Source organism: Homo sapiens, chromosome 3, assembly GCF_000001405.40.
Source record: "Homo sapiens chromosome 3, GRCh38.p14 Primary Assembly".
Lineage (NCBI taxonomy): Eukaryota > Metazoa > Chordata > Mammalia > Primates > Hominidae > Homo > Homo sapiens.
This window is the reverse complement of record NC_000003.12, coordinates 4567855-4581464: the sequence shown is the minus strand read 5'-3', so window position 1 is coordinate 4581464 and position 13610 is coordinate 4567855. Positions and strand designations below refer to the sequence as shown.

The following is a 13610-nucleotide window of genomic DNA, read 5'->3' as shown; positions in this document are numbered from 1 at the left end:
ATATGGCAACCCACCTAAAACTGATGTAAAAGCAACCACCATACACCATACTGGTCTGGGAAGAACAAAGAAGCCTTTCCTGGGAGTTTTTAACCCTACACCAGGGAGTGAAGTCAGGACAGAGACTAGCATAGCACCACAGCATCACTGCAGATGTGTTTCATCATGCAGACCGCCTTCTGAAGAGGACAAGACTCACATGGGCCTCTCTGTAGCACAGAAGGTGCTGACCTTGCCTGGTCCTCCTCTACCCTGCTGATGCTGCCTCGGCAAAAACACTCTCCAAGGTGGCTGGGCTGTCGGGGTGGATTTGGGAACCTTCTAAATGATCCTTGGGGGAATTACTTGGAATTTTTTATCAGTATGTGAAACAAGCGGTATTTTAAGCTTCTGAAACGTTTGAGTTTGGTATGTGGAGGAGTCGGGACAGGTTTATATCCCAGGTCAACACAATTAAGTCTTATGAGTTATGGAGTTCAGAGGTAGAGAGGTTAGTTAACTGCTCTGGCACCTAACGTGATTGGTATTTACAGAAGAAATATTGGCTGCTCCGAGATGGAAACGTTCACTCCTCCTGCCTGACGTTACTCTTACTGTCGGAATCTGCTCAAGGGCGCCACTCACCCTATGTGCCCACTGTATCCCTCTTCCCCAAGAGGCGGCCCCATTCAGTGACTGGCAGGTTTGGGAGAAGGACTAGGCATGCTCAGTACAGCCTCTGCGGCTTGCTCACTGAGGATCTGTTGTAATGGGCTCAGCAACAGAAATTCTGGCCCTGCAAGAGGTTGGGGGTAAGGACAGTAGTGGAGGACTATGAACAACACCTGGGACGGCAAGGCAAAGGCCACATCCTTGACACGCTTTACCAGTGAGCTGCAGGACACAGGCACAGCAAGCTCTCTGCTGTTCATCTGTCACCTCCCCGTATCACTTGTTCTCCTGCCAGGGACATTAGGAGATTAGATGACTAGGCTAATTTGAACAATTGGCTTGGCAGTTCTTACAAAACAAAAGGTGGGGGATCTGTGGGGTTCTCCTGTCCTGCCCCCACTTTGAGAGGGTAATGTGGGTCATAAGGAATGGCTGGATGAGTTAAAAACCACTTGTTTGAACCAAAAGCCAGACAATCCTTATCGAACCTAAAACTTAACCTTCCTCCTCACTCCTGAATACTTAATGTTAATATCCTCCATCAAGGGCACGTGAACCATATATGCTTTAAAAAATAATAATAAAGGTTTTTTGGTTTTTTTTTGAGACGGAGTCTGGCTCTGTTGCCCAGGATGGAGTGGAGTGGCATGATCTCGGCTCACTGCAAGCTCCGCCTCCCGGGTTCACGCCATTCTCCTGCCTCAGCCTCCCGGGTAGCTGGGACTACAGGCTCCTGCCACTACGCCCAGCTAATTTTTTGTATTTTTAGTAGAGACAGGGTTTCACCGTGTTAGCCAGGATGGTCTCGATCTCCTGACTTCGTGATCCACCCGTCTCGGCCTCCCAAAGTGCTGGGATTACAGGCGTGAGCCACCGCACCTGGCTAATAAAGGTTTTTTTTAAGGCTGAATTTAACATTCAAAATACAGTTAGATCTAATTGTGCAATACAGATATAATATGCCTGGAATCTTTGGGGGATGGAACTATAAAGAAAATGCAATGAAGGAGAACAGTCCCACAAAGTCTCTGTCTAACCCTGATTCAAACAGCACCAGAAAGAACCCATCATGCCATCTGATAATGCCAATTTTCAATTCTCTATCATTAAAATAAACAAAAACCCTGACTCAATATACTTTCTAAAATGAACTTTCCTACGGAAAGGAAGCAAGATCCGTAACAGGCTTTTTGTTTAAAGGGAAACCACCAAAGATGGATACACTCAACTTGTGATTGATTAACCAATATTTCCTTTCTCTAAGCAAAGCCAGAAACCAATTTCAGAGTTATTTAACCTGCAGGTAGAAAATTAATTTCCATGAAGATAGCTCTTGATCAGGTTACAGAATCTATATCATACTTCCTCTAATCTATTATTTTCAATGTTTAAGCTGTATAATATATGTTATACATATATACATATTCAGCCATTTAGTAACAAGTATTTAGAAATATTTATTGATATTAATAAGAAATTATCATCAAAATTACATAACTAATATTTACAGGGATCAGCAAATGCTCAATCGTATTGCTACAATGTAGCAGTAACAACGTTCTAGGTACTATGCATGTACTGGACAATATCGTTTCATCATCACAACGACACATCTTTTAGAAGAAGAAATTGCAGCTGGAAGAGGTTAAGTAATCTTCTCAATGTCACACAGCTGATGAGCTATGGGGCCGGAACTGAGACCCAGGTAAGGTGACCCTGAGCCTGCTACGTTAAGTCAATACCCAAATGGTGCTTCTTTGTATCAGAATGTTCACGTCACAACAGCCTCGCCTGGAAGCAAAATCAGCAATATCACATGGGTCAATGGAATTTTTGTTCTACTCAGTATTTTGGAAGCCTCAGAACGACAAGATAAAAAAACAAAAGATGCCTTGACCCTGTGGGGCCCCCTCTCTCAATGACAACGTGAAGCTCACTGTTTACTTCGTTTGCTATGTGTCTACATGGACCAGTGTAAGGGTTGTGTGTTCACACAAGATAAAACCAAAATAAATTAAAAATCAACAATAAGAACAACTTTCAGAGGTGCAGTCATCTAGCCCTCCTTCATTGTTCCTTGGAAACTCAGTATGGCAATCATGAGCGCGCCAACCACGTTTAAATCTCATACACAAACGTTGGTTGGAGGAGCACTTAGCACGTGGCTCTATGAACAACGGTAACTCAAATACTGAAGAAGCTCATCACAGAACACAGGACCAGCTGGTCAGGCTAAGCACTAAAGCCCCTTCTGGCTGTGGGACATTATGAGCTCCACAATTCTCACTGGCACACACACTATATATATGTATATGCACACACACACACACACAATAAAAATTCTCACTGGCAAAGCAACTTGGAATAGCAACTTTGTTGTCAGACACACAACTCCTCATTTGAATGCAGAGGCCTATACACAATTAATCCATCAGGTCAAACCGAACCGCTCCCTCCTATGATTTTTGCATTCTCTGATACTGTCACTCAAAAGAAAAGAGAGGAAAAAGATCACTCTAGAAACCAAAAAATAAAAAAAGTGGCAGAAAAAAAATGTTTTCTATAGAATCTTACATAATTTAGTTTTTAACCTCATATCAAACCATTTTTAAAAAGAAACATGCCTACACAAGAGCTCAATTTATTCACTTACAACCTTTAAAAAGCCCAATGGTGTCAAGCGTTATAGCAATCTGAAAGTAATCCTTTTTCTCTTTTTGCTTGCTATAAACAAACTATGAGCTGGAAGGGCTAATATTTCAAGATGAGTATAGAATGCACAGTTTCACTGGCACTGGTTGCTGGATGAGCTTCAGGTAAAAATGCAACTATCCTTCAAGATTTTCTGTGCCAGCCTATGCCAACTTATGCAGTAATGTAAGATTGAGGTGGGGGAGAGCAGAACAAGAAACCAATATGGCCTCTATCCAAATAACTACAGTTAGAGGACCCCAATCTAGACAGCCCTAGCCTCATTTCCTTTATCACGTTTGTCACACTTGTAATTACAGTCTGTTCTGCTATTTTGTGACAGTTGGCGAAGTCAAGAAATTTTGTTTTATCCAAAATGTTATCCTTTTTTCAGTGACGTACAAAAGAATTAGAGGTTACAGAGGACACGACTTTCCATCATAAAGTTGTTTTTCTGGACAAATTTCAACAGCAAAGGTATTATTGTAGTTATAATGCACCTCGTTATTATAAGCTACTATATATAGTAGGCCTTGTGGCTATAAGCTGAAAAAATACAAATCAGTTGATCAACACTAACAAAAACCAACCTGATCTCAATTTAGGAGATCTTCAGTGACCCAAAAGACTTCTGCTCTCTCCAGACATCTAGCACTAGTCAGCATGGTTCGCCTGCTAGCAACGTCAGCATCCCTGCAAGTTTGGTGAAAATACAGGGCACCTCAGTTTTTATTCTAGACCTACAGAATCTGTATTTTTAACAAGAGCCCTGGGTGATGGCCTTGCAAATTAAAGTTTAAAAAGCACTGCTGTACACGATCCAAATAAATCACAGCAGATTGCATACAATGAAAGAACTCAGGGCCAACTAGAAAGCCATTCAAACACTGCAGCTGCACAGAGAGCCGTGTGGCTCGTCCTGTGCCATCGTGTGTCATCATGTGCCCAGGGCCCTCATTTCAATAAAAGTGTATTCAGTAGGGGGGTCTGTGGAATGCAACTCTACCACATATAACTGGCAGCGTGGGGAACACAATTCATTGTAGGAAAAATTCCCATACTTGTTCTACAACTGACACCTTCATTAGACTGTCAACTCCCAAAGGCAAGGCTGTATTGATTTTCTTCTTTTCAGCAGGATCCCGGGGTCTAGCCCAGGACTGGGTGTTTAGAGGAGGTGCTTAATAAGTTTTGATGAATAAACAAATAAGTGTTTATGACCCTTCAGGAAATCTCTGAACTTCAGCCAAATCTCCGCTGATCCCTCATGAATTACTACCTCCCATTCCTTTCTCTTAAATGACAGGGTTGAATAGGAAAATAACCTTTAAGGTATGTTCCAGCCTCCACATGTTAAAGTGCAAATTATTCAAGAATTATATTTTCATTTAAATATTGACTTCGTTCTGAAGGAACCTGCAAATAAAAACATTAGCTACAGATTGTAGCATTCCACGGATAACGGGCTCCATTGCCATGACCCGTTTTGCCATCAGTCCGTCCAACGCTAGGAGCTGCCTGGCATATTTATTGTTTCTAGATAAATTTTCTTTTTCTGTCTCAGGAATGAGTCTGCCTCTTCACTGAATGCTATCCTTTTTTGCTTCCAAGCATTTGCCTTCCACCAATCCTGCCCTCTCTCCCTGCCAAGACTCCTAGTCATTATCTCTCATGGTATTGTCTGAACCACCTACACCTAAACCTCTTTGTGAAGATCCATAACCCAAGGCCTCACCTCAGACCCACAGAATCTGGGGGTTGGACCCAGGAATCTACATTTTTAACTTGTTACCAAGATATTCTTATGCACATTCAGGTCTGGTTCCAACCTATTTGTCCAAAGACCAATTTGGGTACTATCTACTCTAACAACTCCAATCGCCCAGCAGTTCCATTCCCTATTCATCAGTTCCTTCTATGAGCTCAATGTACTTAACAGTAAAGAAATTCATTTTATACCACCTTGCAATGTTTCCTATATTAATTATTGCCTATTATGATTTTGTTCATTCATTATAAAGAAAACAAACAATAAAACGACTTTGTGCCTCATTAGACTATAAATCTCTTATCACCAGCCACATTTCTTTTTTTTTTTTTTTTGAGACAGCATCTCAGTCTGCCACCCAGGCTGGAGTGTGGTGGCATGACCATGGCTCACTGCAGCCTCGACCTCCCGGGCCCAAGCGATCCTCCTGTCTCAACTACCCAAGTAGCTGGGACTACAGGCATGCATCACCATGCCTAGATAATTTTTTATTTTTTGTAGAGATGAGGTCTCACTATATTGCCCAGGCTTGTCTTGAACTCCTGGCCTCAAGCGATGCTTCTGCCTCAGCCTCCCAAAGTGCTGGGATTACAGGCATGAGACACTGCATCCAGCTGCTGGCAACATTTTTTTTTTTTTTTAAAGAAGACATCAACTTTTTTTAGCCATTACTTTCTCACTGCTCTTACACAAACACACCCTACCCTCCTCCAACACAGGGTCACTGCCAGCTCTTAATAATATTAAATATTTCACAATAACAAAACACATTGATGAGAAATACACAGTCTTGTGTTTCAGCTCTTAGTCATTCATCAATCTAGTTATCCATGCCAACAGTGAGACAGGTCTGGAGAGACAATCATCAACAAACTCCCTGAGGGTGATGATATTTAATAAATTTTCTGCTTTTTAAGGCAATATTTTATCTTCCAAGCATATTTTAACTTCCAAGCATGCTACCACAGAATCAGGATTGAACCCATTTACTCTGGTTTCCTCATATAAATCCTTATTCTATATGGAGGAAGCCAGGAAAAGATGATAGATAAATCCCATTTAAACCTTCTCTCTGGTTTTCCTCTATCCTCCCCCAAAGATGAGTGTGATCTCTTTTATTTGTGCTCCCATAATACGCTTTGCTTAATCTTGGCACTAAGTTGACTGTGTGATCTTCTATTTGAGTATCTCCACCAGGAGATCTTCTTGCAGGTAGAAACTATGGTTGGTTTGTTTTCCTAAGAAAGTCTTTTTCACTAAAATATAACATATTTGCAAGAAAAGTACAGAAATCATAAGTAGAGAACCTGAATTTTCATAAACGTACACCCATGTGTAAGCACCATCCAGTACAAAAAGCCAAGCATCACTTGCACTCTAGGAGGGCCTCAGGGAGTGTCCCTCACACTGCATTTGCAATCATCTTTGAATCTCTTGCAATTGATAGACCTCTGGCTACCTATCCAAAGACCCCAGAAGCCTGCAGATCCATTTTAATTACTGTTGCTTCTAACAGACTAGTAAGACTGAAATAGACTTCTCCAGGCCATGAGGCGGTGGGAACAGGCAAAATTGATGTTCCAATCCCATGACATTATCACTGTGACTGACGCATCAGGAGCTCTCTCCCACAGCATGGAAGACCATTTAAGGTAGAAGTACTCTGCTCAGCAAGCGTGTGCAGATCCTTTAGAATTAACTGACTGTTTCCATCAGAACAACTTCATCACAAACCTAGCCGGGGGAAAACAAAGCCGTTATACATGATTCTAATCCCACAGCCCCAAAATACAGGAGGATGCCAGTATGATCCCAAACAAACTGGGAAGAAAAGCCCATTGTTTTTTGATATTTTGGTATATTTTACAAGGAGAGTAAGAGGAGATTCTATTATATAATTCACAGACTTGTCAACCGACCATCTCCCCTGCAGGAGGAATTTCTGGCTTTGCTTTATAATGCTTTAAAATCCATTTCCGGCATTCATTGTGCAAACGAAGCATTGCCCTCACATTACAACAGGAAATGTGACTGCAGGTAATAAGGAGCAGCCAAGACTCAGGAAGGATGATCTGGGGCCAAAAGGGCAGAGGCAAATAATTCCCATCAATCCCTGAATTTTTTTTTCAATAAGAGGCTGAAAAAAAAAAAAAGAAGATAAGGCATCTATACTTTCCCACTTAGACCTCATGAACAATAATAGCCCATAAATTATTTCTAGCTGGAGAAATTGGCTAGAAATGGTAGACAGATTACAGCATTTTCCTGGGCAACCACCTCCACCTAAGGCGCCATGTGTACATGGGGCACCTCTGTCGCCATGGCCAAAGCTGCTTAAACACATGGCTACAAAATATTATTTTACGCACTCATTCCACAAATAGTTATTGAGCATCTTTTCAGTATCAGACATTCTTTCAGATGCTGAGATAGAATCCCTGTATTCATGGTGTTTACATTCTCTTGGGGAAAACAGCCATAAGAAAGTCACAAATAAATACACTACGATGTCAGAAAGTGGCAAGTGCACAGAGGAAAAGAAAGTACGGTAAGAGAATAGAAAAAGTTGACAGTGAGTACCTTTTTAAGAGAAGGCTGTTTGGAAAGGCCTCTGTGAAGGGCAAATGTCTGTGAATACAGACACCCAGGTGGAGGAAACATCGAGGACAAAGGCCCTGAGGCAGGGACAATCTTAGTGTGTTTAAGGCAAGTACAAAAACCAGTGTGTCTGAAGCCAGGCAAGCAAAGGAATGAGAATTTTTAAGACATTATAAACCAAGGAAACAACTTTGAATTTTATCCTCAGTGTGTGATGGGAGTCATTAGAAAGTTTTAAGCAGAGGAATGACAATATGTAGCTTATATTCTTAAATTACTACTCTGGTTGTTCTATGGAGATCAGACTGTAGGGGGGCAAGGATTGAGACCAGGAGACCAGTGAGAAGACTAGTATCATAGTCCAGACAAGAGCCAATGGTGACTCAGAAAAAGGTGACAGTGATAGATGGGAAGCAGTCAGATGTAGGATATATTTCAAATATAAGTCAAGAGGATTTACTGAGGGACTAGATTAGGGCATGAAATAGAGAAGCCAAAAAAAGACTCCAAGGTTTGGATAGATGTGGAGAAATTAGAACCCTTGTACACTGTTGGCGAGATTATAAAACGAAACAACTGTAATGGAAAACAGTATGGAGTTTCCTCAAAAAATCAAAAGTAGAGCTACTATATAATCTAGTAATTCCGGTTCTGGTATATAGCCAAAGAAATTAAAAGCAGGGTCTCAAAGAGATTTGCACGCCCATGGTCATAGCAGCACTAATCCCAATCGTCAAAAGGTAGAGGCAACCCAGATGCCCCGTGATAAATGAATGGATAAACCAAACATGGTGTACACATACAGTGGAGTATTATTTCACCTTAAAAATGAAGGAAATCATGTTACATGCTACAACACTGATCAACTATTAAGACATTCTGCTATGGGAAATAAGCCAGTCACAAAAACACAAATACAATATGACTCCAGTTATATGAGGTATCTAAAGTAGTCAAATTCATAGACACCAGAATGTAGAATGGTAGTTACTAGCAGCTGGGAAGAGCAGGAAAAGGGGACTTACTGTTTAATGCGAACAGAACTTCAGATCTGCAAGATGAAAAAGTTCTGGAGATCTGTCTCCCAGCAATGTGAATATGCCTAACACTCCTGAACTTTACACTTAAAAATGGTTAAAATGGTAAATTTTGTATTATCTGTTTTTACCACAATTTTTAAAAAATGAAACTCACATTATCTATTATGCTTGTGATATTAGTAAATAAAAATATGAAGCATCCTAATTAGCCAGACATTAAAGATCTAGTTTACTTAATCAGTGTCACATGAAGCTTGCAAATTTGCGTTCTTTTATAATATATATACTATATTAGAACTATAATATATGCATATAATTTTAAAGTATGAATATTTAACCAAGGATTTGATTCCGACATTTAAATAACTGGAAAACTGAAATTGCCATTTACTGAGAAAAGACTGGGAGAGGCAAATTATGAGGAGGAAATCAAGTGGTCTATGTGGGTGTAAGTTTGAGATGCCTATGAGATACATCCAAATGGACATGTGGAGTAGGATGTAGTATATGTGAGTCTGGAGTTCAAGGGAGAAGTCTAGGCTGAAGACAGAAACTTATGAGTCATCAGCATCAAGACAGCATTTCAAGTCATAGGACTGGACCCGCTCAATAAGCAAAGTAAAGAAAGAGATGAAGACTGAGCACTCAGCTCTAGGAGACTCACAAGTAGACTCAGGAATAACTAATCCATGAGCTAGGATTTAGGGAAATGAATTAGACTCAGACAGTGAGGTCTAATTCATATCCCTAAATTCATAGTAGGTGCTTGAGCCACACAACTGCATACAATTAAAATTGATGTGGCCACAAGGGGTCATAAGAGTAGGGAGTGGGGCAGAGGGGGAGAAACAGAGAGGAGCAGAGATGAAACAAGGGTCTCAAAGTCTAACATCTAGCAGTCCCAGTTCTGGTGAGACCTGCCCATTCTAGGTTTCCTATTTTTATAGGCCTGTGAGCTTCCCTGTTCTGTTTATGGTAATCTTCAAGCAACTTGAGTGGGTTTCTGTTCTTTACCCCCAAATATTCCCTGATGAAGGCCTAAAGAAGGGAGACAACACGTGTGGTAGGTAAGAAGTGAAATCAGGCCGGGTGTGGTGGCTCACACCTATAATCCCAGCACTTTAGGAGGCCCAGGCAGGAGGATTGCTTGAGCCCAGGAGTTCAAGACCAGCCTGGGCAATGTAGCAGTTCTACATAAAATTTTAAAAACTTAAACCAGGCGTGGTAACATGTGCCTGTAGTCCCAGCTACTCGGGAGACTGACGGGAGGATTGCTTGAGCCCCAGAGGTCAAGGCTACAGTTAGCTGTGATCATGCCACTGCACTCCAGCTTGGGTGACAGAGCAAGACCCTTTCCAAAGAAACAAAAGAAAAAAAGGGAAGAGAAGAGAAGAGAAAAAAAGAAAAAGAAGTGAAATTACGTGTTATCAATAAAAATTCTAAATCTTATGTAGTGAACTGCATCATTTAGTCCCAGCTCTTCACTCCTCCTTGTATCCATGCCCTCTGACATGAAACTTTGTAATGCCAATTTACCATAGGTGGGCAGGCCGGCTCTGCCCCTTGACTTTGGACTCAGCCCAAAGAGACATGCTTTGGTCAGCAGATATGACACAAACAAAGGCTTCACGGACTTGTGCACGGGGCTAGCTCTCTAGAGCCACTGTCATTGCCACAACTGCTGAAGAATGAGAGACAGATGGAGCAGAGCCAAGTCATTCAGTCACCTCACTCTGTCCAACAGCAAGCCAACCCTCAGGCACATGGGTAAGCTCACCCAAGATCAGCAGAACCTCTGTGACCACAGACACATGTACAAAAAAGCACTTCTTGTTGTGTCTGCCTGAGGTTTTGGAACTGCTATGTGTCAAAGATAACTGATGCATCATATATAAAAACACACTTGGATTTGATCAACTTTCTTCTGATCCATTTATCACCACTGATACGTGGGGACAACTTGGCTCCCCAAAATGGCCAAATATGGACGGTAAGTAATTGATAGGGCAAGAAAAGGGAGCTTTAAGAAAAATCTAGATTATACAGAATGTGGTTGATCTATCCACAGCTACTGTAGAATTAAATATCATTTTAAAGTTTATTGTAAAATAAATATATAAATAAGCAAAATAATACAGAAGGCTATCAGGCATTCAGATTCTCCTATTCATGATTTGCTGTACAGGTGGTTAAAAACTAAAAAAGCAGTCTCTTGTTTTCTTTTAAGAAACAGTCTTTAATTCTTGTAGCATAAAAACATCATTCATCTTCAATGAGTGGTTACATGGTCTACTTGTAATTGTTAGGTCAGACTGTACACTGGCTTCCAAAAGCATTACTTAGAGGATGATTTTAAATACACTCACATTCACATTGCTTTCTTAAATGCTATTCACAGATTATAAGACATTTTTAACACAGAAATGGCTATTTTATGAGAAGTGCAAACATTCATGATGAACTGAAATTAACATTTCAATAGTCTGTCCTTTTAATTTGATAATATCATGAGGCTCGGGAACTTAAGAAGTTTGAAAGAAGTCTAATTAATGACCTCACATTTGCCTCAGATAAAGTTTGAAATCTAATCATTTTTTTTCGGCAACTATATTTGTTTTCTATACTGAAATAGTAAGCCTCAAAGTATGAGTGTAAAAATACGCAATTCTCCAAAGTGAAGGGCAGCACAATTGTGGCTATTACAGTTGGGACTCATTAACTCAAGAATATCAGTAAATACCAGCCCTCCACCAACCAACAATTTAAAAATGTTAAACTCCCACAAGAAGTTCTTTCCTTGAAACCTGAATATAATTGTCTTAGGTCTTTAATAGCCATTCAAAAAAATTAAATATGCATAAATGCATTCAACAACTGCTCTTCAAAAACCACTGCTATTCTAGAGTTCAATGTGAACAAAGTTTAAGGTTAAGGACTGATTTCTAAAACTATGCAACTCCCATGACAAGCTGGAAGATCTGTTCTCAAATATCAAAACACTCATGTACCCTTTTAAAGACATCTCTAAAACAGCTGTGTTACCTATGCTTGCAGACACATGGCATCATTGCTTCCCAGTTTTTAGATCATAGGTTCCATGATCCCTCTTACTACACAAAAAGAAAGTAAAAGGCATTTCTAAAAGGCATCAGAGATTTGAGTTTAAGAGGCTTTAGTTTATGGATGAGGCCAACACAGAGAATCAGCAATGCACAAGCTTGTCACACAATGTTTTGTTTGTTGACGCTCAATATTCATTTTTCCATTGAAAACGTAGTCATAAAAATGAGTTGACTTATAAAAACATAAAATGTCCTTTGTTTATAAATCTAAACATACTGTTATACTGTTAGAATACTAGAAACTGTTTTAAAATGTTTTAAAAATCAAATTTTATATTTTATATGGCCAAATATAAGGAAACACATCTTCCACACTGTCACCAAAATTAACTTTCTTTAAAATAAAAATAAGGCAAATTTAATGATGTCACTTTCCAGCTTAAAAAACTTTCATGGGATCCCCCTGGATTCTACAAGATAAAAGTCCATGCGCCTTGAAGAGAGCATCAAAGAACCTGCCCCATTCATAGAGTTTGGATATTTGTCTCCACCCAAATCTCATGCTGAAATGTGATCCTCAGTGTGAGGGGTGGGGCCTGGTGGGAGGTGATGGATGGAGTGAGTTCTCTAGAGATCTGGTCGTTTAAGAGCGTGTGACCCCTCCCCATTCTTCTCTTGCTCCTGCTTTTGCCATGTGACATACCTTCCACCATGGCTAAAAGTTCCCTGAGGCCTCCCCAAAAGCTAAGCACAAGCCAGCACCATGCTTATACAGACTGCAGAACTGTGAGCCAATTAAACCTCTTTTCTTTATAAATTGCCCAGTCTCAGTGGTATTTCTTTATAGCAATGCAAGAAAAGCCTAATACACTCATAGAGCCCTCATCAACATTTTCAGCCTCATCTGGAACCATATCCGCCTGACACCTGGCTCCCTCTATTCCAGCCACACAACATGGCTCATTCCTTACTCAAACTATGGACTTCCATATCTCCTTGATTTTGCAGGCTGCGTTACCTTTGCTGGAGTGCCTCTGTCTACCTGGTCACTATCTATCCATGTGGCAAGACTTTCAAGATCTTGAAGCCATCCCTGCCTTCTTAGCCCAGACACACCTCCTCCTCCCACACAGCTCCCTATATTACCAGCCACACTTCACACTGTCAATTAGTTCTTCACACAACTATCTTCCCCTTTTGGGTGAGGTTAGCTCCAGGGAAGAAATAATGCCTTAACCCAACTTGGGATCCCCTGCATCTGGCACATAATAGGTGTTCAGCAAAGCTCTGTGGAGTGAGCAAAGGGGAGAAGAATAAAAGAGAAGTTAAAATAGAAAAAGATGAAAGCATGCAGTCCTAAAAGACAGTAAGGATCTCAGCAGTAGAGTATGCCTAGTTTTTACTTTGTCTCAGTTCCCATCAAAGTTTTTAATTTTGTCTTCTGAGGTTCTCCACAACAACATCACTAGCTACCAGAAAGTTTTAACACAAACTCTATGTAATGACCCTGGCCTCCAGGGCCCAACTATGTAAAAATCACAGACTCTTAATCTCCTTCTCTTCTCAGGTCTGCGCCTTCAGGCTCTCCCATCCCCACCTCACTGCACCGACTTTGGCATAGATTTCAAATCAGTGACCACATACCTGATAAATAATCTACTGAGCAGCACTCTCACCTTAATTACGTGACTTACTGGGAGTGTTGATAGTGTCTATCATTGAACCTCTCACACCTTTAAGAACTAGCTCAAGGTGGGGCACGGTGGCTCACACCTGTAACCCCCACACTGTGGAAGTCCA

At 40.7% G+C, this 13610-nt stretch overlaps 1 protein-coding gene across 4 annotated transcripts in view; it reads right to left on the bottom strand.

Moving 5' to 3' along the window:
• ITPR1 (inositol 1,4,5-trisphosphate receptor type 1) overlaps positions 1 to 13610 on the bottom strand; it is a 354159-nt gene that overhangs the window by 266042 nt on the left and 74507 nt on the right.